Raw genomic sequence first — 27,449 nt, forward strand, 5'->3', positions numbered from 1 at the left:
ATATGTGTGGGCTGGGTTTCTGTGACTATTAATGCGGGGAAAATTGGAGAGGACAGACTGGAGAGAAGGGGCTTCAATGAAGGGCTTGCAGTCCTGCTATTTGGCTTGGCATGAGTATGAGTATCTCTTGGGTGAAGAGGAAGTATGAAAGGTAGTCATGTTTGAGCCATCTTGCCAGTAGTCAACCCAAAAGAGCTGGCTAATGGGAGAGGAGACTCCAGCAGCAAGTGGCTGTTGGGCAGACTTATGGGACCTGGAGCGGAGAAGTTCTGGTGAGGTCACAACACACTGGATCACTGGCATCAGAAACTATGCAGTGAAGAGTTCCAGTAAGATTCCACAAAGAACTCATACTCAAGTCACACAGTAGAATGAACATCTGCATGCCTGCTGCACTGAGGCAATCGTACTGTATTTTGGCCATTTTCAGCCTCTCTTCTCCCTCTTCTTCACAACTGAAGAGTAGATATCAAAAGGAAGAAAAAGTAGAGGGTACCGTGTCCTAGACTAAGACTCCTCTATGTTCCTAATCATTAAGTCTCAAACTCATCTACCTCAGGGAGAGTGAGAGGAAAGGAGCATTAAGTTCCATATGAGATTTAAATTTGACACTAAATGGGAATGGGCTTTTTAGAGCTTAAATGCTTGGAAGGCGATTAGATTGACCAGAAACATCATGGGCATGATGCAAAAGGGAGATTTGACAATGTCTGGGTAAAGGCAGTGATTGGGAAAAAATAAACCTGCTTTCTGGCCATTTAATAAAAATATACATGTAACATGGCCAGGCGTGGTGGCTCACTCCTGTAATCTCAGAACTTTGGGAGGCCGAGACAGGTGGATCACTTGAGGTAAGGAGTTTGAGATGAGTCTAGCCAACATGGTGAAACCCTGTCTCTACTAAAAATACAGAAATTAGCCAGGCGTGCTGGTGTGCACCTGTAATCCCAGCTACTTGGGAGGCTGAGGAAGGAGAATGGCTTGAACCCCAGAGGCGGAGGCTGCAGTGAGCTGAAATTGTGCCACTGCACTCTAGCCTGGGTGACAGAGTGTGACTCCATCTCAAAACAAACAAACAAACAAACAAAATATATATACACCCACACGTAGACACACAGACACACACACACACACACACACACACACACACACACACACACGTGACAAAAAGACTTTATAGATTCTTCACTGTGCATCTCTTCCAGAGTAATTTCTGTTTGCTGTACATCTCAGTTCTTTAATAAAAACAAAAATACACAACACGGACCACAAAAAATAGGCACTCTCTTTGTTCCTGCTTTGAGCTCAGGCCTTTATGTGTATACTCACCTCCTAAAACAAAAGGGCTAAAAATAACACGCAACAATCACAAACAGATGAAAAACTGAAAAAAGAGAAAAACTCCAAATAAAAGGTTAGTTCAATTTTTAAAATCAAAATACACATTACGGAACACAAAAAACAACCATGCTTATATAATCTGAACAATCTGGAATTTGTTAGGCAGCTGGGCTCATTAGGCAAAGTAAGGGATCATCAAAGTGATATCACTATTCATTTATAGTGAGAAATGAAGTAGAAACTTGAGAGCCTAAACAGAGTACAGCAAGGAGGCAGATGTCACAATTCAGTACAGCACATATTTATATTTTTTATTTTCATTACAATGAAATGAATATTTTGAACATTTAAAAAAAAATTTATTTTACTTTAAGTTTCAAGATACACGTGAAGGATGTGCAGGTTTGTTACACAGGTAAACATATGCCATGGTGGTTTGCTGCACCTATCAACCCATTGCCTAGGTATTAAACCCCATATGTATTAGCTATTTATCCTGATGGTCTTCCTCCCCCACTTTCCTGACAGGCCTCAGTGTATGTTGTTACCCTCCCTGTGTCCATATGTTCTCATTGTTCAGCTGCCACTTATAAGTGAGAACATGTGGTGTTTGGTTTTCTGTTCCTGTGTTAGTTTGCTGGGGATAATGGCTTCCAGCTCCATCTATGTCCCTGCAAAGGACGTGATTTCATTCCTTTTTATGAGTGCATAGTATTCCATGGTGTATATGTGCCACATTTTCTTTATCCAGTCTATCACTGATGGGCATTTGGGTTGAGTCCATGTCTTTGCTATTGTGAATAGTGCTGCAAATGAACATACACTTGGTTTTGATTCATTATTTAGACTGGCACTCTCATCTCTTAGTGTTTAATTAGTATGATGATCTTCATGATATAACTGAGAATAAAATGGCCAGTGATTTGTATGTAAACAGAAAATTTTGAAAGGTGGTACTAATAGATGCTTGGTATATGACCAATGCACCTTTAAGAAATTTACATAGGTTATGTTACTTAATGCTCACAAAAAGTATAGGAGGTAGGTACTGTTGTTTCTGTGTAATAGAGGAGGAAACTGGGGCCCCCAAATTTTAAGTGGCTAGCCAAAAACACAGTGATAGTGTGATTGGCTTAACTTGTTTTGTTGTCTAATTAAACAGACCTTTATAAATTCCATTGTTGAAGAGCAAATCATTAAAATGAAGACTTTTTTTATTGTTTCTTAAGGCATATACCTTTGAACCTGCTTCATGATGTATGAATCATCTCTGTTCCTTAACCCTGTGGCTACTAATGCTGCTGGGTAAAATGAAAATTACACATCAAGGCAGATTGGGACCACTATAAATTGGTGACCAGCTATACCATAGCTCTGGTTTTACTGTCAATAGAGGAGGAAAGCCACATGCATAGTGAAGGCAACATTTGAAGTCTTTGAAAAGGGTCTATTTTTGTTGACTCACAAGCAAGACATTTGGTGATGTCCTAATCAGGCCATTTTATACTGTAATTTTTCTCATTGGAAATTATGTTTTCATGTGATTATAAAACATATTTTTAGGCAATCAAAATAATAATATTATATCATGATTGGAAAAATAGTCTCAAAAATATCTCTCAACGTGTTTCCCTGAAGTGCAACAAATAAACAGGAAACAAATTTATTTGGTGATCCCAAGTAGAAACTAACCAAGCAAGATCCTTTACTGCAGGCCTTCTCAGGGCATTGAAAATGCTAATGTGAATTTTGAGTCTTCTAGATGGGATATGATGCATCTCAATGTGTTTCTTGTTCATTTATTATTCATTCAGCAAATATGTATTGAGTGCCTATTTCGTGCTAGGTGATACTCTGGGCATTGGGGTTCAGCGGCCAACAGGACAGACAGACTGCCTAATAAAACCCACTCCAGTGTATGATGCTGACCTACAGTGGCGGAATAGGATAGCTGCTTATCTTTCTGTTATTTCAGGCCAAGGAAAATGTTAACTAGAGAAACATTTGTGAGAAGAAGAGGGGATTATCAGCAGGAAGCCAGGCATCTGCCTACCTTTTCCCTTTCTCATAATTAACCATCATCTCCTTACTTTCTCATCTTCTTTGTATTGATCTTTCATCATATAATGGCCACAAATAGCAAAAGGAAGGCTTAATAACAAACCTTAAAATGAATAAATAATTACAGCCACTAATCTTCCTCAGCCAACTGATTATTTGTTTAGTGACACTATTACATAAAACGAGGTTTACATAATTTAAAAGAACATCGTCATGCAGTTTTTAGAGCTTTTTTTCTATTTGTCCTTGCTTTTGATACCCTTTAAAAAGCAATAGAAAGGTATATTGCTGCTGGACATGTAGGGACTGAGGGAACAGTTCTATATAGACAGAGGAGTCTTTAAAACAAGAACATGCATCAATTTAAAATTAAATGCACTTTTTACACTTTAAATTTTAGTATTCAACCCGTTTCATAATGAGTATAATTATTACCTCTCTAAGAAGTCTAATCTTATCACAAAAATATTGTCTACATGTGATACTATCTGGTCATCTGTCTTTAGTCATCATACAGATATTTTGATACCGATTTTCTATATATACACCTCATTTATAATGTCTTTTCTTTGGTATTGTGAGAATAAAATTCTTTATGATATTATTTCAGTATACATAAAAAAATTTTCTAATGATACTGTAATTCAAGAATTATGTGTGTGTCCCCTGAAGTAGAGTCTCAGCAGACAGAAATGCAACCCTGCCCCTCCTGTGAGGAGCTTGAACTGGCTGTGATTCCATGAGCAAGATCGAGAAGACAACTGCCAATCCAGAGACTACTTTTAGAAATACTTGATAGGAAAGATATGTAAAAATCTAATTTTTTGGAATAGCTATCTTATGATCCCAGAGTTTGCTTTTGCAATATACATTTAAAAATGTGAACGCATATAAGAAACTGACATTCTACATTAAAAATCAACACATATTTATTGGGTACCTAAGAAGTGCCAAGTACTGTATTTTATCTCATGTTTCTTTCTCTGTCTGTGCACAAGCTTTGCAATTTCTCTCTCTCCCACTTCTGGCCAACCACCTTTGATTTTCCTACCCTGAATTCTCAAATAACTCTAGTTTGAACAGGGACAGTTTATCTTGGGTCTTCTATGTCCAAATTTACATAATATTTAAATGAATCCCATAGCAGAGCATCCTGATTTTCTTAATTCTAAATTCCTGATTTTCTTAATTCTAAATTCTAAAAATCTGTCTTCTTGATCCTGTTCATGGGTCTGAGTATGGCTAGATTATGATGTGCTGACTCTTGGTTATGGCAGAAGATATCTGGATAGGAATTCTCCCTGAAAAGGGAAAGTTAGCAGAAGTCAGCTAGGCTGTTTGGATTTCAAGTAACAGAAATTTCTGTGGCATATTAATTCTTCCTTCAGGAAAATAGTAAAATGGCTTTATCTGTTCCAGGTTTTACATCTGGAATCAACAACAAGAAGGAGAAGGAACGTCTCTTTTATGTAACTTTTAGGAGCAATGACAACTTTGCCCAAAGCACCTAACTGGCTTTTCTCTAAGATTTCATAGATCAGAAGTGGTTCAAAAGCACCTTTGTAAACTGACCACTGCCACAGAAATCCCAGTTAACATGCCAGGTATGATTACTGACTGACAAGTCAGAATATGTTCCCAGGCTGAGGGGGAGGCTTAATTCCCCTTCTTAATTCAAGAGAAGGGTCACTACAAACAACATTGGAATTCTGTTAAGAATGTGCATCTTAAAATAAATCTATTATTTCTTATCATGTTATTCTGCTACTAACTTCTCTCCTATGAGGAATTAACACCAAAATGCTGCTTAGTGAATTCCCCAAATTAACTGAGATCCATAGATGCTGGCCCACTAAAAGCCCAAATGTACAACATCACTAATCATCAGTGAAATGCAAATCAAAACCATAATGAGATACCATTTCAATCTGTTAGTTAGAATGACTATTCTCAAAAAGACAAAAGAAAACCAGTGTTGGCAAAGATGTGGAGAAAGGGGAATATTTACACACTGTCGGTGGGATTGTAAACTAGTACAACCATTATAGAAAACATTATGGAGGTTCCTAAAAAATTAAAAATATAACTACCAAAAGATACAGCAGTCCCTCTACGGAGTATATATCCAAAGGAAAAGAAATCAGTATGTCAAAGAGATCTCTGCATTCACATATTTATTGCATCATTATTTACAATAGCCAAGACATGAAATCAACCTAAGTGTTAAACAGTAGATAAATGGATAAAGAAAAGGTGGTATATATACAAAATGAAATACTGTTCAGTCATAAAAAGAATGAAATCCTATCATTTACAACAACATGTAAAGATGAACCTGGAGGATATTATGCTAAGTGAAATAACCAGACACAGACAGACAGGCACTGCATAATCCCACTCATATGTGGAATCTAAGGGAAAAAAGTTAACATCATAGAAGCAGAAAGTAGAACAATAGTTACCAGAGACTGCTGAGGGGAGGGGAAAGGGGATAACAGGGAAAGATCACAATAAGAAGAAATAAATGTTGGTGTTCTATTGCATAGTAGGATGAGTATGTAATATACTATTTCAGTGAACAGTAAAATATTGCATACTACAAAATAGCTAGAAGAGGGGCTTTTGGAAGTTCTCACAACAAAAAATAATAAATGTGTGAGATAATGGATGCATTAACTATTTGGTTGGATTGGAGTAGTTACAACATAGATATATATTGGAAGATCAAATTGTATCCTACCAATATGTACAATTACAACATGTCTATTAAAAGATAAATAATTTTTTTGAAAAGATAGCCCAAGCTTCATAATGTTATACTGGGTGTCTAGATTTCATAATAAATAAGACTGATTGAGTTTGTGTCAATTATTGTATGTGTAAGTATATATGTTATTTAACAATCTAGAGACCTTGGGCAACTCATTTCACAGTTCTTGAAAGAGTCAGTTACCAAGTGTGCATGTGTGTGTGTGTGTGTGTGTGTGTGTGTGTGTGGAGGTGGGGAGGTTGTGTGTGCAGGGGAAGTTGGGGGTGTCATACAATTTGCCCAACATCCTTACCAGACTTTTTTTAGAAGGAATGTTGTTTGCAGAAGGGCTAAGGCTGTGAAGTGTTATGCAAATGTATGCCATTATCATGCCCCTTTCTCATTAACACTCCCAAATCCCTCATGCAGATACAAAATATCCGCAGGAAAAAAAATATTTTTTTCGTATAAATAAATAAAAATATGTAAAAGAATGGTTTGATTAAAACTGGCTGGTTTGAGATTTGGTCTTATTTTGAAATGAGGTCAGCCTGGTTGGGTTTTGAATTTCAATAGAGAAATTTTGCATGGCTCTCTGAGTTATACAAAGATATTTTAAATGTTGGGAAAAAGAAAGCCCCTCACAGATAGCAGCAGGAATCACACTGGCAGAGTTGAAGGAAGTAGAGAAGCAAATCCAAACTGAGGAGAACAAATACATATTTTCTCTCAGGGTGTTCAAAGAGCAGGAGAATAAAGGAGACAAAGGGAGGCTGTGATAGAAGGCAACTGATACTGCACCTCCAGAAAGAGGAGGGCTCCCTGCTGAAAGGAGCTGAGTGCAAGAAGGGTGCTCAGGGGCCACGGGGACTGTGTGGAGCAGTGACAAGGGAATAGTGCTGAGAATCCAGTCTCCTGGGGTTTTGTCCAGGCCTTGCTCTTATCAAGTCTTTTGACTTTGGACATGTCATGGCATATCTAGGACTGAAGTTTTCTCAACTGTGAAATGAGGAGTCTGGGTGAGAATAGACTGTTTCTCAGAACAAACCTGGTTCACTGCGGAAGGTCAGGTCAAGGATTATGCATGCCTCACTCACTGTACATACCATTGTTGCGGCCCCAAGAAGCCTCGATATACATAAAATGAGGCCATGCAGGCCAAGTTTTCTTATTGATGGGGGTGCACACATAAAATGGAGATCAAAGTTTTGAGATGCAAATATAACATCATCTTTTCTTAACATAAATGCAATGGAGCTTTTAAATGTTTAAACTCGAAGGCAGAAAGAAATAGCCTTTTTATAACTACCTTATTGGAAAGTGGGTTTTCAAAAATGCCCAGAAAGATATTGGAAATTTCATAAGCATTATCCTCTGCCGACAGTTGTGATTTCAGCCCTAGATTTGAGCCCTGTAATCTTTTTACAAAGATCGACCCATGTGATTCTTATGAGTGCCCCAGATGAGAGCCAAGGCCCTAAAGGAAAAGATGGCTAACATGACTGGATTCTCCAAAAAAGTATATTGTCATTGACATTATTCATCACATGGCTACACAAAAGTCAATGTCAAAATTATTTTTAGAATTCGGGGCTAGAATATAAAATAATATGTACAGTTTAGCTATTACCTATCTACTAGACATAATTAAACATTATACACTTGAAAAATATATACCAATACTTTTTTAAAATGTGCTTCTTTGGTGTTCAGATTATAAGTGATTTTCAATTTATTTTAACAATTATAAGTGATTGTTCAACTATTCACCTCAGTTTCAAGAAATCTCAAAAGCAAATTTGAAACTCAAGTCATGGCAACTAGATAGACAAGTTTTAATTCATATTTTGTCTTCCCCTTATCATTGAAGCAGATTTTTAAAAATTATACATTATTATTTCAAGTATACATTTTAGTATAAATTTCTTTACTGCCATAGTGTAAAACATAAAAGAAAAGAACAGAAGAGAAGGTGTAGGGGCAATGAATAAAGGGAAAAAATTATGTCTCAAAAAGGGGAGGATGAAAACAAGGGGAAAGAAAGGAAATGAGACGGCAAGAAGGAAAGCATAGCAGGCTCATTCAAGAGGAACTCCTCTGAACCTGCTGCTATCATACATTCAGAAACACCTGTGTTTGGAAATGACCAAGTCATTTTCAGCCCAAGTGAGGGGTGCTTCAAGAATGAGAACCAGAATGTGAGGTCAGAGGATGCTTCATGTTCTAGGTTGTGAAACGGTCAACAGAGTTTCTCATGATGTGTACTGAACGGGCAAGCTGAGATTTCTGCAGAGCACCCATTTCAATCAAGAAATACAACATCTTCTAATTCCAGATAAGGCAGTGGGTAAGAAACACCTAGGTTGGTGTGACATCAGCAGTCTCCTAGAAACGTACCTTCTATTTACTGAAATGATTCTGAATTAAGCCTGGGAGCTGCTTATCAGCTAAATTTCCTGAAGCAAAATGTCAGTATCACTTTATTTGTAAAAGTTCTTTTTATCAGGGAGAGAAAAGTTGAAAATCAGATGTTCTGATATCATGTAAGTAATAACCCCAAAATGGCTTGATTTGCAGGATGATACGCTGTGGAAACTCTCCTAACACCTCCCAGTTGTGTAGTTTCCCAAATCAGTTTTACATAAATAGAAAGGTGTGCAATCTTCCAGTTAATATTAATGTGCTCATTTGCAAATGAGTTAAAATAACATGACATATCTGGGACTCGCCTCATTGACCCCTTTGGTTAGTGGTGATTCATTAAGCGGTCACTCCTTAAGACAGTAGTACTTGCTTGAACTGCTATTTACATTTGAAGACCTTTGCTAGGAATTTACAAATTTTCAGCAGGAATCTACATCATAGTTAGGTAGACAGGTTTGTCATGTGTGTTTGTGTGTGTTTAGGGGAGGGTAGGTGGACACAAGTAAAGAGAAGAAATGGGGTCACTTTAGTTGAAATAAATAAATTTAGAATTGTTCAGCTGATGTAAGAATGAGTTTGAACTGAGGGTAAGGTGGGTTTTCAAATAAATGGTTAATAGTGTTCTTGTGCAGATCTTGGTGGGTTTCTTGAAATCCACTCTAAAGTTATCCATTTAACCCATTTTGGGGGACACATACCACATTTCAGTATTATTTTAGGTTTTGGCACAATAGTGCAGAGGACAAAACAGGAAAAAAAAATCCCTGCATTTGTGGAGACAGACAATGAACAGGTGAGTAAATAAATGTATAGAATGTCTGGCAGTGAGAATGGGTTGGTTCAAAGGGTGTACAGTGAGACAGAGGTGACTTGTGTGGCCACTTTAGATGAGGGTGGTCAGGGTGACCATCTCTAATAAGGTCACCCTGTGACCTTATTAATAAAGTTAATAATTTGGTCACCAAATACTTTGGTCACCAAAGTTAATACTTTGGTCACCAAAGTTAATAATTTGGGAGGAGACCTAAGAAAGTGTGGGAATGAGTCACACAGACATCTGGAGGAAGAAAATCTGAGAGAGAGAGAGCAGTGAGAAGGCCTGGAGGGAAGAGTGTATTAGGCTTGTCTTGAAGAAGAGCAAGAAGGCCTAACCCAGGGTGTGGGCAGAAGGCTGTGGTAGATTACCAAGGTTCTGGTAGACCATGTAAGGACCTTGTCATTGCCTCTAGGCAGTTTTAGGAGGGGAATTTACCAGATTGACCAGTTCTGAGTTTTCTTTTTTTTTTAAGGGTCACTTTGTTGTATGAAGAGTAGACTGCAGTGGCCAAAGGAAAGTGTTCAGAGAGCAATTAGGGACAGCTTTAAAATAAAAAGTATAAAAAATTGGCATTGAGAAAGAGTGGAGACAGGGAGAATGATGAAATCCTGGAGATCTATTATATATATATATATATATATATATATATATATATATACACACACACACACACACACACATTTTTTTTTTTGAGACAGATCCTCCCTCTGTCACCCAGACTGGAGTGTGGCAGCACAATCTTGGCTTCCTGCATGATCTTGGCTCACTGCAACATCTGCCTCCAGGGTTCAAGTGATTCTCCTGCCCCAGCCTCCAGAGTATCTGGGATTACAGGTGCCTGCCATCACGCCCAGCTAATTTTTGTATTTTTATGAAATACAAAATGGGGTTTCGCCATCTTGGCCAGGCTGATCTCAAACTCGACCTCAAGTGATCCACCTGCCTCAGCCTCTCAAAGTGCTGGGATTACAGGCATAAGCCACAGAACCCAGCCCTATCCTGGTTATATTTTAAAGTTAATGCCAGCAGATTTTCTGAGAGATTGTGTGTAGGCAATGAGATAAAAAAGAGATGACAAAGATAATTGGATAAATCCATAACTTTTGCCTTTTTTTTTTTTCTCTACCACAAGTGCTAAATAAAGAATCAAGATCTTGGACCAAAACTTTCTCCTTTTGGGCTGCTCTGTTAGAATTGGCATACAGATAACTTTTAATGTTCCATGTCAACATTCTTTTCCATACGAAGTATGGTGATACATTTCTAGATACATTTCAGATACATTTCTACCCAACACAGAAACGATTCACACATGCTTGATAGATGTTCCTCCAAGCATGTGCTTGACTGAATTAATCAGCTTTTAAAATTGAACACAGGAAATCTCGATCATATCTTTTAGCATCTACCTTAACTTACCTGCTGTCCCGTTTAATTTTCACATATATGAAGAATTGTCCACCTCTATGAAAAAGTATATTTATAGTATGTGAGTATATGCTCTGTGTCAGGTAATTTATCTCATTCACATCTCTTAGAAACTGTGGATAGAAGTTCTTATCTCCATTTTATATAGGAAAAAAATCTAAGGTTTACAAAGCCTTCCACCATATAGAACTTTAAAACCTAAAATTATATATATATATAATATATATTTTAAATCATGAGTGTGTGTTATAATACACACAGATGAAGCATGAATTGTTTATAAATATGATAGATTTATCACAGTATAAACCCCTATATAACATGACATAGTCAAATCAAGAAATAGAACTCACACTCCAAAAGCTCTCATACCCCTCCAAACCACTGTACCTTGCTCCCCCAAAGTAATCATTATTCTGATGTTCCATAGTCACTTTTCTTTATTGTTTTATCAGATAAGCATAGATTACTAAACACTATAGTTAAGTTTTGCATGTTTATGTTTTAACATTTACATGAATCATGTCTTACATGTGATATTTTGTGTCTGGCATCTTTGACTCAATACTGTATTTGTGAAACTTATCCATGTTTTTTGGATGTAGCCATAGTCCATTTACTTCCTGTGCTGCCTGCTATTCCATCATGTGACATATCACAATTTACTTGTCCATTCTGCCATTAAAGAATGTTTGGGTTGCTTCCTGTATTTCGTCTACTATGAAAATGATACTTCAGACTTTTTTTATGCACATGTCTTAGTGCAAATGTTCACAGATTCCTGCAGGGTTTGTACTAGTGAAATTGCCAGGTTTCAGGAAATATGTATCTCCAACTTTACTAAATGATGCCAAACAGTTTGACAAAGGATTTGTACTAATTTACATTTCTACTAGCACCACAGGAGAGTTCCATATGCAACATTTTTCTATGGTAATATTTTATATTGTCATTCTTCTTAGTTTTAGATATTATGTGAGAACATAATAATATCTTATTTGATTTTAACCCTCAGTTCACTTTTAATGTGGTTGAATTTTTTTTCATTTTTGTATTTTCTCTTGTGAAATACCAATTTAAATCCCTAGCTAACCTTTCTTTTGGCTTGTTAGCATTGGTCTTATTGATTTGGAGGATATATTCTAGATTTTTTTAAATTTATATTTTCTAATTTTTAAATTTGACATAAAATTATATGCATTTACCATATAAAACATGATGTTTTAAAATATATACACATTGTGGAATGGCTTGGATTTTTAAATGTATTCCAAAATCAAGATTTTCATTAATTATATCAACTTCCAAACAGTGGCTTGCCTTTTTAATCTTTTTATAGTGTCATTTGACCAAATTTGTCAATCTTTTCCTTTAGGGTAGTGTTTTTGAATCCTGTTAAGAAGGCAGACATTATTTCTTCATTAAGTACTTGATAAAATTAAATCCTTAAACCGTATAAGTTTTTAATTTTGCTTATGGATTCAACTTATTTACTTAAAATACTTCTTGTGTCCATGTGGGTGGATGGTATTTTATTTTCTATAATTTTGTCCATTTTATCTAAATTTTAAAATTAGCAAAAATGTGTTTGCAATATCTATCCTCACATAATTTAAATGTTGGTCAAATCTGTATTGATATCTCTGTTTCATTTATGAATATTGATGCCTTCTCTCTCTTTTTTCTTTTTTTATCAACCTATCAGCGTATTTATTGCTCATGTTATTAGCTTCTCTTTTACACACACACACACACACACCCCACACCCATATACTACTTTTGCTGTGCCTTTAGTCCTGAAAGTGTCAAAGTTCAGTTCTACCTCTCACATTTAAGAACTTGCAAATACCCTTAGCCGGAGAGACACCCTCAATGCCAGGTTGTCCTCTCTAGATGTCAGCCTCCCAGTCTCAGCCTGGAAACTCTGCACTTTCTAATTAGCACTCCACTCCCTTCAACCACACTAAAATAAAATGTTGTCAAGTAATCTAGTTATTCTTTTGAAAAATAATTATTGATAATTAATATTTAATTCCAAATTTGTTTTGGTCTAAAAATGGTTTACATTCCACCCTAACTCAGTCTACCAATACCACAATCAAACCGATACCAAAATCAAATGCTTGATCATTCTGGCTGGTATTGTTTCTCATTTATTTATATCCATTTATCTTATCTTCCAATATATTTTATATGATTCTATGAGTGATTTTCCAGGATGAGTTCCAAACCGCCCCCAACAGCACACATTCAAAACAGGGTCGTGCATATAGTCAATCAATAACACTTTCTGAATAAAAGTGGATCACACTTAATAAAGAAGGAAATATTTTTTAGGTTATTTCTGGTTGTCCAAGCCAACCAACTGCTTCCCAACCTGGGTCCCCAACATTCAGCTGATTTTTGCATTGTGTAAATACAGCTTAAAAATCTAGTTTGTGAAAATCCTTCAAACTGGTTATTTGGAAATTGCTTCCAATCTAAATCCATCCACATACATGCCTCAAAACCATCAGTCTGAACAACCCAAAATGAATGGAGAATGTGGGTTGGGGAGAGAGACCTGTTCTCTGCTGTGATGTTCTTTTCAGAAGTCATGTGAATATTATCAGTAAAGAGCATTCCTAAATATCCTCCTTTTAATATACAGCTCCCTCTTTTTTCCTTACATCCTTTCTGACTAGGTTTCTAAACTACAGCCTTGGCTTCAGATGATTATTCATATCATCATTATTCCAGACTAAAAGCCGTTAAGTAAATACCCAAGACTTGAAAAATTGTGAAGGATAATTCTTACATAACACGAACTTCATTATATGGTTCTGTCATCCTCTCCTTCCTCCAATTTCTTTCACTCTAATATTTTTATCTATTTAGTAACATTATTTCTTATGTACTTTTACACCATATTCAGTATAAATAGCATAATTAGCAGTGGAAAATAATTTGTTGCCTTCCTGCATTTATTTATGTTCAAAAGATCATGTAAAGTTCTGCTACATTAAAATTTAATTCGAGAGAAAACGAGTTTTGTTCATTTCTCAATGCAATGCCCATTTCTGTTCAGCTTGTATGAATGATAAAATATTATCGGTCCATGTTTTTCTATTTGGTTTCTAGGCATTTGTGTAAACTAGTTAGGAAAAGCAAGTGTTGCTTTGTTAGGCATGTGTTCAAAGAAGTATTGTAGAGACATATTTTATTCTGGGCACCCTGTCACCATGTAGACAGGGCCCAATCCATTATTTAGCAGTTAATTTGTTAATCGATTGACCAATTGGTTCAGGGATTTTTTACTCTTAGATTACCAAAAGGAAGAAAAAGGAAAGAAAGAAAACAACGACAACAAAAAGCCTCCTCTGTAGGGTAAATTAAAGGAAATTGCATCAAAATCGAAAATGCACTGGTGTTTACAGATCTAGATTAAATCTGACACAGATTGGCAAACAATGAAAAAGGTTCCCTCGCTCGGAGCATAAACATTTTGAATCTCGCCAGAGTGATGTCAAATCTTAGAAAGCAAGTAAACTGAAGTGCCCTTCTGGGGTGGATGTGGGGGCACAAGCAGGCAGAAGGAGTTACCTTCAGGTTGGCTTAAAGTCGTCCAGATTTTCTCTCCAGGTTTGGAGAAAAAGTGGAAAGTTTTCCACTTTTCAAGATTCTTTTACAGATTTCATTACCTCCTCCTTTCTCCCAATCTTTAGCTGAAAGTAGAGATGAAGTAGACAAATGCACTGTGAATATACACACTTTGATACACTGAGGATGCCCATAATATCTTAAGAAGGGGAGAATTGTGAAATTCACAATTAAAATGAATTTATATGAATTATTAGATGACTTTATGCAAAACAATAAATCGATTGCCATTGCTATTAATGAGTATTTTAATAGAGAAATATGAGTCAAGTCACTTAATTTTTATGTAACTAGTCTTCTCTCTAAGTTAATTTACATTTATGTTTACCATATTCTTTCAAGTACTATTTTTGAGGGGTGGTGTGTGTGTGTGTGTGTGTGTATGTGACAGGGAGAGTAGTATTCATGCTTATCCTCAGCCATTTATATTCCATCAATTCTCATTGACACCATATGTATTTCACATCATTACTTTTTTGTCTGCCTTGGTAGTTCAAAGGAATCAAATTTGTGAAAAACTCTTGTTACCTTTCCTGAAGGTTAAGATGTGAGATAATGGCAAAGATAAAATTTTAAATGCCTTCCCTACAAGAACAATAAGAGAAGAATAAACCGAGCTACTTGAAAATTTTTTTATTAGTGCATAGGGCTGGTCTGGATAGTCACCTCTGTGCCCCCATCTCTTTTCACCCATCTCTTTCTAAAAAGGTAAGGTCAGGTTTATCTGGAACTTGTCTTCTCCTTCAGACTCCATCCACAATACCACCTGGAAGAGAGCCCTGTAGAAAGCATTTATGGAAATATAGAAAATAGAGTTCAGCCCTTTCCTGGTCTGTGAAATCAAGAGACACTCAAGAGGAATTGAGATTACTGAGTTTCTGCTAATTGCTAAGGATCCTCAGGGTCAACAACCTGTCACCTTTCAATGCACAACTAACCTCCAATAAGGGTAGTGTTGAATAAATTAGTTAGGACATATGCCCAGGAGGGGAATAAGAACAGCAGAGTATCCTGTCCAGGAAGGAAGCATTTTTACCATGTTCAGCATAACCTTATAAGCGTGGTGGGAAAAGCCTTTGTTATTTGAGCCCATAAAAGTCTGTGGCCTCCTCTCTGGAAACATTACTTCCTCTACCTCTCAAATGCCAGTTTTAAAATTTTATTCCTTTGCCTACCGTGTTTCTGAAATGAACCCCCACCCCCCACCCCCAATGTTGTTGACTTTACTTCTACTTATTATTCTTTACTGACCAGGTGCCAACTCTTCTGAGAAGCCTCTGTGAACTGCTTCTCAACAGGATTAGCCACTTTATTTTTCTCACCTCCTCCCTTAATGGCATTTCCATTATTGCTGGCATTTTGCTGTAATTTAATTATTATTGTCTAGGTCTTTTGCCTCCTCTCTTCAGCATCTGCCTCTCAACATCAAACTAAGAGTTTCTTGAGGCTAAGTCTCCAATCTTTCATCTTCCCATCCTGGAAAATCTGAGCTACTGGTGTGCAGTAAAGCCAAATGTGTGCAAACAGAAGTGATGAAATTCAGAATTATTTGAATGATTTTCTTAAATCAGCAAAGAGAACAAACTTTTGCAGATGCCCTGTGTGATAAGAAGCACACTCATTCAACAAGTTTAGAACATCCATTTAATCCTGCTCTTTTCTTGCTAATATTCAAATTTCTTTAGTTGACTTGTATTTCAGGACCTTGTTGAAAAAATAACAATATTCTAGATTCTAGAGTCTAGAAAAGTAGGATCAACCTTTGACATATATCAGAATTGAGGGACTAAGTGGCTAAGTTGGCTGGACTTCCTGGGTCAACAGGGACTTCCCCAGGGGGACTTTCCCCTAAGCCAAAATGAGTCATAGCTGCAAGGTACGGGATTGAAACTTCACCCAATCAACAGGGACTTTCCCCTAAGCCAAAATGAGTCATAGCTGCAAGCGAAGGGATTAAAACTTCAACCAATGAAAGGGGACTTTCCCCTAAACCAAAATGAGTCATAGCTGCAAGCTAAGGGATTGAAATTTCAAGCAATCAAAGGGGACTTTCTTCTAAGCCAAAATGAGTCACAGCTGCAAACTAAGGCATTGAAACTTCAACCAATCATATAGGGAGTTTAAGCTCTAGCTGCAGCCTGATGTTTTTAACCAAGCAGGCCCACCAACCCACAAGCGGATAGAAAATAAGCTAATCCTACAGGACAGGAAAAGGAAAAGGGGAGGAGTCATAAGGGGACATAAGCCTAAGACACCCAAGCCAGAAACGGCAGCCATTCCGGATCCCCATGGAAGCTTTACTTTCTCTTTTGCTTTACTTTCGCTTTTGCTTTACTTCCGCTTTTGCTTTACTTTCGCTTTTGCTTTACTTTCACTTTCGCTTTAATAAATCTTGCCGCAGCACACTCTTTGGGTCTGCGCGTTTCTCTAATCGAGCTATAACATTAGCCGCTGTGGTCCAGGGCTTCATTCCTTGAAGCCCGTGAGACCATGAATCCTTCAATTGAGAAAAACCTTCAATAGGAAGACTTCTCATCTCAGAATCTTCTAGGGGAGATTGTTAAAGCTCAAGTTGTTGGGCCCAACCCTAGAGATTCTGATTCAGTAGTTTGGGGTTAGGGTCTGAGAATTTCAGGTGATGTATTCAGGTGACGCAACTGACAGTGATGCTGCCTGTCCTGGGACTGTGCGCTGAAAGCCACTGCTCTACAGTGCAATTAGCTGCAGTTTAGAGTTAGAGAAGGACATTCGAACTGTGCTTCATTTCTAGGCAGAGGCTGGAGATTTTCCTTCACAGCTCACGCTTTGGCTTGGCAATAATCTCAATCATTGTGTCATTTTGCTAGGACTCAGCAGGGGTGAGGGAGGCAAACTGCTAATATAGTGGAAAAGGGTCTGCATTTTGTTAACCTTGTGTAAGTGAAGTTCACAAAAGATTTGTCTTCTTAGGCATTCTTTTCTTGGACTTCTTCAATCAACCCCAATGCACGTGATTATAACAGAAAGGCTCCTGGTGGATCCTTTTGTAACATGTAACATCATTCTTTTAAAGCAAATAAGGGGCCATTAGACAGAGATAGTTTGTACCAGAAGCTCTTAGTTAAGCAAACTGAAACTTAACTTGGAGTCATTTCCTGTAATTGACTTACAGAAATAAAACAAAAGAACTTCAAAACAAAACAAAAGAGCTTCCACCAATAACAAACATTCAAACAGCCAATTGGTTATAAAATTAGGAGCTTTTGATCAGACCAGACCAGACCCAAATAAGACAAATGCCTAGCTACAGCCAGCCAGGAATTACTTTACTTCTGCGTTCAGCCTGTGAAAACTTGCTGGAACAAAGCTCTCTGAACCTTTTGCAATTTTGAGTGTTGCCTGATTCATGAATTGTTTGTTTCTTTGTTTTGAGACAGAGTTTCGCTCTTGTTGCCCTGACTGGAGCGCAATGGCGTGCTCTCAGCTCACTGCAACTTACGCCTCCCAGGTTCAAGCGATTCTCCTGCCTCAGCCTCATGAGTAGCTGGGATTACAGGCATGCACCACCACGCTTGGCTAATATTGTATTTTTAGTAGAGATAGGGTTTCTCCATGTTGGTGAGACTGGTTTCAAACTCCTGACCTCAGGTGATCCACCCGCTTTGGCCTCCCAAAGTGCTGGAATTACAGGTGTGAACCACCACACCTGGCGAATTGTTCTTTTTTAACATAAACTCTGCTACATTTATTTTATCTAAAGTTTTTTCTTTTTCCATAGATGTGTATGATTGGTCTAGGAATAAACACCTGACAAAAGCTCTACTAAGTGTTCCCTTCTGATGATTTTCATGAATTTTCTTTACAATTCTGTAGGCCCTTTCCATAATCTTATTAGAATTGTTACTACATAACAATATATTATGTAGCTTATGTCCAACTAAACAAATAATGTCTTATTTCTTGTGCTTCACTCTAAGAAAAGTATTTTTATATAAAGTCTGAATTTAACTACAGGAACAAAAAAACATGAAACAATCAGAAACAATGTCATTCATTTATACTAAGAAAAGGAGACAGGAGGTAAAAGATTTAAGGGATTGAAGAAATTGTCAAATGGCATTCGAAGACAGTGGAAGCAGAAGTTTACTGGAGAATTGTATGGGCACCAACCTGAGTCAGCATCCCACTCATGGGTGTGTGACACGGTCTGTCTCTCAAAATTGCACCAGAGTGGTTTCAATAACTTAGAGACAGTACAGTCACGTTTTCTGCCCTGACCCATTCCATCTGATCTTTAAGGGCTAGCTCCCTTCTCACTGCCTTTATGCAGTCTTCTCTGATTTCCCACATACACTCTGATCGCTATTCCAAGTAGCTGACTAGTTATTACACAACTTTGCTAATAGGCTGGAAATTGCAGCCACATCATAGTGTGTCCGGAATTGGTGGGTTCTTGGTCTCACTGACTTCAAGAATGAAGCCGCAGACCCTCGCAATGAATGTTACAGTTCTCAAAGAAAGTGTGTCCGGAGTTTGTTCCTTCTGATGTTTGGATGTGATCGCAGTTTCTTCCTTCTGGTGGGTTCAAGGTCTCGCTGGCTTCAGGAGTGAAGCTGCAGACCTTCGTGATGAGTGTTACAGCTCTTAAGGTGGCACATCTGGAGTTGTTCATTCCTCCTATCTGGAGTTGCTCGTTTCTCCCGGTGGGTTCGTGGTCTTGCTGGCCTCAGGAGTGAACCTGCAGACCTTCGCAGTGAGTGTTACAGCTCCATAAAGGCAGTGTGGACACAAACAGTGAGCAGCAGGAAGATTTATTGGAAACAGTGAAAGAACAAAGCTTCCACACTGTGGAAGGAGACCAGGGTGGGTTGCCACAGTTGGCTCAGGCAGCCATTTTACAGAAAGCTGATTGGTCTGTTTTACAGAGAGCTGATTGGTCCATTTTGACAGGGTGCTGATTGGTGCATTTACAATCCCTGAGCTAGACACAGAGTGCTGATTGGTGTATTTACAATCCTCTAGCTAGACGTAAAAGTTCTACAAGTCCCCGCTAAATTAGCTAGACACAGAGCACTGATTGGTGCATTTACAAACCTTGAGCTAGACACAAGTGTTGCTGATTGGTGTGTTTATAAACCTTGAGCTAGACAGAGTGCTGATTGGTGCATTTACAAACCTTGAGCTAGACACAGAGTGCTGCTTGGTGCATTTACAATCCTTTAGCTAGACATAAAAGTTCTCCAAGTCCCCACTAGACTCAGGAGTCCAGCTGGCTTCACCTAGTGGATCCCGTGCCAGGTCTGCAGGCAGAGCTGCCCATCAGTCCCATGCCATGCGCCTGCACTCCTCAGCCCTTGGGTGGTTGATGGGACTGGGCGCCGTGGAGCAGGGGGCGGTGCCTGTCGGGGAGGCTCAGGCTGCACAGGAGCCTACCGTGGGGGGGCTTGGGCATGGCGGGCTGCAGGTCCCGAGCCCTGCCCTGCAGGGAGGCAGCTGAGGCCTGGCGAGAATTTGAGTGCAGTTCAGGCAGGCCGGCAGTGCTGGGGGACCCAGTGCCCCCTCCACAGCTGCTGGCTGGGGTGCTAAGCCCCTCACTGCCCAGTGCCGGCGACACAGGCCTGCTGCTCCGAGTGCGGGGCCCGCCGAGCCCACACGCACCCGGAACTCGTCCCGGGCCATGAGCGCCACGCACAGCCCTGGTTCCAGCCCGCACCTCTCCCTCCACACCTCCACGCAAGCAGAAGGAGCCAGCTCCAGCCTTGGCCAGCCCAGAGAGGGGCTCCCGCAGTGCAGCGGTGGGCTGAAGGGCTCTTCAAGTGTAGCCAGAGCAGACGCCAAGGCCAAGGAGGCGCTGAGAGCAAGCGAGGGCCACCAGCACGTTGTCACCTCTCAATAACATTTTCATAATTGTTTTCTGCTAGCATTTCATGTTTTGTTTTACATTCACTTTTATTGTCTGCCCAATGAGTCAGCAAACTTTTAAGTCAGTCTCAGTATTTCACTACTTTTATCCTTACAAACTTCATAGATATGCCTGACACAAAAGTACAAATATTTGAATTATAAGAGAATTAAAATTATGGAATCTGAAAATTTAACATCAAAAGTTACAGTTGATATTTCACCTCTAAGTTCTTTATTCAATATTTATGTGCTCTTTGTGACTTGTTTGGCTGAATTGATTAAGAGAAATAGTTCCAAAATGGGTCAGGGTAATTTTACTGTTGGCTAGTTATTTGGAAAATTTGTGAATATTTTCAAAACCATCAGTTCTCTTGGGTGTTCTAAATTTCACTCAGTGTGACTGTTTATATATACATATATGTTTATTTATATGCACATACATATGAATATACATACATACTAAAAATGAGTATATAGGCAGGATGCAAATAGATAGTATGGCAAATTCAGAGCATCATTTCATATTGAATGGATGTAGGGGTATGTGAGTGTGCATATACACAACTGATTATATATATATATATATACACGCAAACACATATGTATGTATAATATATATAATTACATATAAGTGTATACATATAATGAATAATACCTAACGTGTACAAGAATACCTTGTTTTACGGCACTCATTTTATTGTACTTGGCAGAGAGATTGAGTTTTTTATAAATTGAATGTTGTGGCAACCGTGGCTTGAGCAAGGCTATTGATGCTACTTTTCCGACAACATGTGATCATTTTATGTCTCTGTGTCACATGTTCAATTCTTATAACATTTCAAGCTTTTTCATTATTATCATATCTGTTATGATGATCTGTGATGAGTGACCTTGGATGATACTGTTATAATTATTTTGGGATGTCACAAACCACACACACATAAGATAGCAAACTTAATCAATAAATATTGTGTGTGTTCTGACTGCTCCACCAAATGGCCATTTTGTATTTCACTCCCTCTCCTAGGGCCACCCTATTGTCTGACACACAACAGTATTGAAATTAGACATAATTAGACCCTAACAATGGGCCTAATTTTAATATTGTTATGTGTCAGGCAATCGGGTGGCCCCAGGCATCTGCAATGACCTCTAAATGTTCAACTGAAAGAAACTGTGACATGTCTCTAACTTTCAGTCAAAAGCTAGAAATGATGAAGCTTAGCGAGGAAGGCTCATTGAAAGCCAAGATAGGAGAAAAGCTAGGACAAACAGGCAGGTCGTACCTGCAAAGAAGAAGTTCTTGAAAAAAATTAAAAATGTTACTCCAGCAAACATATGAATGGTAAGAAAACAACCAAATCTTATTGCTGATATGGAGAAAGTTTCTCTAGTCTGGATAGAAGATCAAACCAGCCACAATCTTTCTTTAAACCAAAGCCCAAATCAGAACAAACCCCTAACTCTCTTCAATTCTATGAAGGCTAAGAGAGGTGAGGAAGCTGCAGAAGAAAAGTTAGAAGCTAGTAGAGATTGGTTCATGAGATTTAAGGAAAGATGCCATCATCATAAAAAGTACACGGTGAAGCAGCAAGTACAGAAAGTTATTCAGAAGATCTCGCCAATATCATTGATTAAGGTGGTTACATTAAACAACAGATTTTCCATATATATGAAACTTCCTTCTATTGGAAAAAGATGCTATTTAATACTTTCATAGCTACAGAGGAAACATCAATGCCTAGCGTCAAAACTTTAAAGGGCAGGTTAACTCTCTTATTAGGGGGTCAATGCAGCTTATAATAAAGTTAATATTTATTTACTGTATGAAAATATAATGCTAAATCTCTTCTTCCTGTGCTCTATAAATGGAGCAACAAAGCCTGGATGACAACATGTCTTTTTGCAGTATGGTTTACTAAATATTTTAAGCCCGCTGTTGAGATCTACTGCTTAGAAAAAAATAAGAGCCAGGGATTTGTAATATTACATAAACTGAGTTGATAAAACAGTGGCAAGTTTTGAGAGGATTGACTTCAATTTTGAAAGAAGTTCTACTGTGGGTAAAATGCTGTCAAACTGCACGTCATGCTACAGATAAATTTTTCCTGAAAGAGTCTATCAATGTGGCAAACTTCATTGTGTCTCATTTTATGAAATTGTCACAGCCACCCTAACCTTGGGCAACCACTATCCTGATCAGTCAGCAGCCCTCAACATCAAGATAAAACCTTTCACTAGCAAAAATATTACAGCTAACTGAAGGTTGAGATGTTCATTAGCACTTTTAGCTACAAAATATTTTTAAATTAAGGTATGGACTTCTTTTTAGAAATCATGCTATTGCACACTGAGTAAACTCTAATATGGAAAAACCATACATTTTCTATGCATTGGGAAACCATAAAATTTGTTTGATTCATTTTATTGTGGTGGTCTGGAACAGAACCTTGAATATCTGAAGGTATGCCTGTGTAAATAAGTGTGTGTTTATATATAATGAGTGTATGTGTGTATATATTTATATAATATCTATTGTATTATGTATATTGAACATGAAAAGAATGCTCTAAATTTGCCATACTATTTGCCCCCCCTTATTATATGCGTGTGTGCATGAATGTGCATATATTCTTCAGAGCAGAAAGTGTGTGTCAGTTTATTTAATACATATAGAGAGCCAGAAAGAGAGAGAGAATTACATTATTATTTGGGGGCATTTAAGTTAAATTTGCTCACAATATCATACACACACATAAACACACAAAACATATTCTGTCAGATATTATTTTCAAGATTTGGGATTGTTTAATCTCACATGTCTCCCATATGTAGTTGATGTAGCATGAAAAATATAATTACCTGCAATCGATACAACCAATTCCAAATGGTGAATAGGAGCTACGAAAAACAGTGATTTAAGATACTCCTGCAAACCACAATTACAGAGACATAAAACCCTCCAGGAAAGAAACATTTATTCCAAAAACCTGTTTATTGCCACAGAAGAAACTTGAAATGAGTTTTATAAACTTTGCATCAAAGTTGACTTTTTCAACAAAAGTGGATGGAAAAAAGTAGTTAATTTTTACCTAGCGTCAGCTTATGGGGAGTCAGAAATGACAATATTCATTTTCAGTTGGGCAAATTCAGCCCCAAAGAGTACACCTATCAAGCCATGTTGAGCCAAGAATTGACTTCTTTCTTGACCTAGGTCCTTGAATGTTCCTTCACGGCAAAAGGAAAACCTGCCAGACATCATTAAGCATGATTTCTTCCTCCAACAGGCTTTCAATCTAAGTTGTATTTTATTTAGAATCCACACACAGGGGAAAGCAGCAGCGCAGTGCCCTGCTAGAAATGAGCAATAACATTCAAAGGAAGATTGGAAGCTGAAGATCTAATCATTAACAACAGATGGTTCAACTTGAATCCGATAAACAAGTTTTGTTGTTTGCTTTCCTTCCCCCTCTTATCCACTTGAATGGCCTATGTGAGTGTGTTTGCATGTAAAAGTGCTGGGCCCTGCTTCACCAACATAGATGGCTCACCTGATTGAAGGAACACTTTTATGATCAGGCTGGAATCTTTATAACTTGAAAGACACTTAACAGTCTGATGCTGAAGTCTATAGCATGCCTGCCCTATTTGTTTTCTTTGTGAGAGTTTAGCAACTGCAGTGTTCCTTAATGTGCTCTGACAAAGCCTCTTAATCCGGTCATAGTCCCTTTCTTTGGCTGGTGATTGCTTTCCTAAAATCACAAACCCAAAGAGTGTTTGTTGTGCCTGCCTTGAATCTGCCCTCCTCTTTTTTGTGTTCTATTTTAGAGAAGAAAAAGAGGAGGGCATATTGAAAACATCGTATTAGACACCGTGATGTGCATTGGAACTCTGTATCAGAAAATATCATAGGCATGATAGACATGCACATATGGTCACAAAATTGCAGCTCCTGGGAAGGAAATAATCACGTTTTAATGTTTTCGCCACATTACATAGTGGGCATGTCCTTAATACTCTCCAGAATGAAATATCTTTTTAAACATATAAGTAAGTAGTTCAGATGTTATTTCATATGTAGCGCATTACTATTTCCTTAATCTCCTAAAGTATTGGAGAAGTAGGTGGCAGAAAAATATACAACTTATTTAATGAAAGGAAAGAAGGGAAGGAAGGAAGGGAGGGAGGAAGGAAGGAAGGAAGGAAGGAAGGGAGGGAGGGAGGGAGGGAGGGAGGGAGGGAGGAAGCCACCAGCAAGAAAAATTCTGTATCTTACTCTAGTTAATATGACTATATGACTCTCCACAACTCCTTTAGATGAGAAATCAGCAGAGACATCTCTTGCTTTGTTTAAATGAGCCCACCTCTTTCTCTATTTAACTTAACAGTGACCTTAGTCTCCTTCCAAACCTTCCAAAGGCCCACTGATCATGCACCTAGAGTCCCTGAGGGTATTTCTCCTCACTGTGGAGTTCTTCCAAATTTAATACTTGCTCAAGGGAACCAGGGTTTATTGAATCCCTGTGCTGGCCTTTCTGTTTTCTTTCATGAACTTCAACTCTGATTGTCAGGGATTTATTTACTGAAGAATTCCTCCCTGTAAAGCATGAAGGTGAATGAGGCAGGGGAATGATAAGAATTAAAACTTTCCCCATTTAGCCTCATAATCATAACAAATATAACATAAAATGTTTTCATTTGCCAAAATTAACTTGTATTGGTGAGGGTTCTCCAGAGAACCAGAACCAATAAAATATATAGGAAAATTAATAAGAAGAAATTAAGTATAGGAATAGGCTTACATAGTCATAGAGGTTGAGAAGTTCCATGATCTGTCTTCCACAAACTGGGGAATCAGGAATTCCAGTGGTGTAATTCAGCCCAAATCCGAGGACCTGAGAATCTAGGGACCAATGATTTAAGTTCTGAAAGCCCAAGAACTGGGAATGCTGTTGTCTGAGGGCAGAAGATGAATGCGCCAGCTCAAGCAGACAGAGAAAAATTACCCTTCCTCTACCTTTTTGTTCTATTCAGGCCCTCAATGGATTAGGTAAGGCCCACCAGCATTGATGAGGTTGTTCTTTATTCAGTCACCTGATCCAAATGTGAATCTCTTCCAGAGACGCCCTCAGAGACACCCAGAAATAATATTTTAACAACTACCTGAAATCTCAGCCCAATTAAGTTGACACATAAAATGAAACATCACAAGTCCACCCCTTGTCAACCTGGCATTAATACCCTCCTCTTTATACCATATTTAATCTCCAAACAAAGACACTAACAAGGTCATAATTCAACCTAACATGATACAATTATTGTTTTACCTGGGTAATATTCTGATTTAGAGGCAATCGGTCATAATCTCACAGAGGATAGCTTTTAACCATTGGCTCCTTAGCCAAATACATATAACAAATATCTCATGTTGACACATAAAATTAAGCATGACATAGTTAACATTAGTATAATGCTTGTGCTATATTATTCAAAAAGATGTGTTTTCTCTTTTTTTAAAAAAAAATATGTAGCTTTAGTCATATTGCAAAAGGCTAACTTCTGCAAGTCACAGACTAGGAGGAGATCATCATAATATATACATCCAATACATCCAATAAAAAACAAATATTCAGAATTTATATGGAAATCTTCAAATCCATTTTAATAAAGACTAATAACTCAAAAATTGACAAAATGTATTAACAGGCATTTCACAATGAAAATATTCAAAAGTCTAATAACTATCCAAAATAAGATACCAGGTGACTCTAACTGAAGAATACACTGATCAAAGGGCTAAAATTAAAAAGACAGACAACATCAAGGGTTGCCAAGAATGTCAATCAAGTGGAAATGTTTATAACACTAATGACACACTGTTGTGTGTGTCAAGTGATCAAATATTTTAGAAGAGTGTTTGGTAATATCTATAAAACTAAATTTGTGACTCCTCTATACCTGAGAAATCTCATTTCTCAGTATATTTCAAAAAGAAATTAGTATTCCTGATTTCTTTCTTCTCTAACATTTAACATATTAAATTGTTGGCATAAAAGTAGAATGTTAGTGTCCGTACAGTCCTGGACCGAGGCATTCTTGGAAGTCTGGTTTTAAAGAAGGAGTAATACATGGTCATTGGGATAAAATAGAGAAGGAAGGAGGAGCACTACTATGAACAGAGGATTCATCCAACCTAAATAATAAAGTAGCATTCAAGTTTTGGTGGAAGAAGGAAGAAAATGGTATCTTTCTGGTCTAGTATCGAAAGCCAAGGACAGCAGAATTTGACAATAGTTTAAAGCACAGGCCCAGAATTTCCAGGCAGTTGTTAATATCAAAAAGACTTCTAATCCCTGTGTCAGAGAAGTATACCAAAGTCAAGTTAAGGTCAAGCCCCAAAGATGAGGAATGAAGATAAATAACACAGATTATTTCACGGTCCAGAAGATGCTGTCTTGGCTGCAGGGCCAGGCTCTGACAGCAGCAGATTACTAGCATGGAGATTAGAGTCAGGGGTAAAACCTCCTAAAAAGGCAGAATGTGCAGACAAATGATCACCTGGGCATCCACGGGAGGGAGTTTACCCCACTATCTCCAGAACCCAGAAGTAGAAATAGCAGACTGCCTTCCAGCCCCCTCACTAACAGGGAAGAAAAGCTTAGAAAGTATAGTCAGGCTGAGTTCTAATTAGTTTGGGGATTGGGCTAAGCTGGAGATTCAGATGGTAAGTTTGCAGTAGGCAGGCTTGGCAGGAAGGGCAAGGACAGCCAAGCTGTCTGGGGACAAAGTCTTTTTCTATCTACATACCAAAAGTTAGCACAATGGATTAAGGAAACAGTCCAAGAGCTGATCTGTTTTTTAGTTTACTGGGTGACTAAGTCACAAACTTAGTGGGACTTAGTCACCCAGTAAACTGACCGGGTGACTAAGTAAATAATAAAGTGTGACTTCAGTTCATTAATTCGAATACCCAAACCTTGTTAGGATGGATTAAGGCATCAACTAGTACTGTTGAAACATCTCATAGTCTCATATAGTGGCTATACAGTCAACTCTCCATATCCACAGATTCCTCATCCTTGGATTCAATCAATAATGAATAAAAAA

At 38.0% G+C, this 27,449-nt stretch overlaps 3 annotated features.

The window, feature by feature from the left end:
* Nucleotides 15,761-16,960: an enhancer, noted in NCBI's record as "P300/CBP strongly-dependent group 1 enhancer chr18:36520353-36521552 (GRCh37/hg19 assembly coordinates)". NCBI's record gives its function as "activates an origin of replication core promoter dependent on BRD2, BRD4, P300/CBP, MED14 and CDK7 cofactors, with strong dependence on P300/CBP, by STARR-seq in HCT116 cells {active_cell/tissue: HCT116}" and the evidence as "EXISTENCE:reporter gene assay evidence [ECO:0000049][PMID:35650434]".
* Nucleotides 16,211-16,620: an enhancer, noted in NCBI's record as "active region_13245". NCBI's record gives its function as "activates an Ori minimal core promoter by ATAC-STARR-seq in GM12878 lymphoblastoid cells {active_cell/tissue: GM12878}" and the evidence as "EXISTENCE:reporter gene assay evidence [ECO:0000049][PMID:35858748]".
* Nucleotides 16,671-16,860: an enhancer, noted in NCBI's record as "active region_13246". NCBI's record gives its function as "activates an Ori minimal core promoter by ATAC-STARR-seq in GM12878 lymphoblastoid cells {active_cell/tissue: GM12878}" and the evidence as "EXISTENCE:reporter gene assay evidence [ECO:0000049][PMID:35858748]".

The sequence above is a fragment of the Homo sapiens genome, chromosome 18, assembly GCF_000001405.40.
Source record: "Homo sapiens chromosome 18, GRCh38.p14 Primary Assembly".
In the NCBI taxonomy this organism is placed as follows: Eukaryota; Metazoa; Chordata; class Mammalia; order Primates; family Hominidae; genus Homo; species Homo sapiens.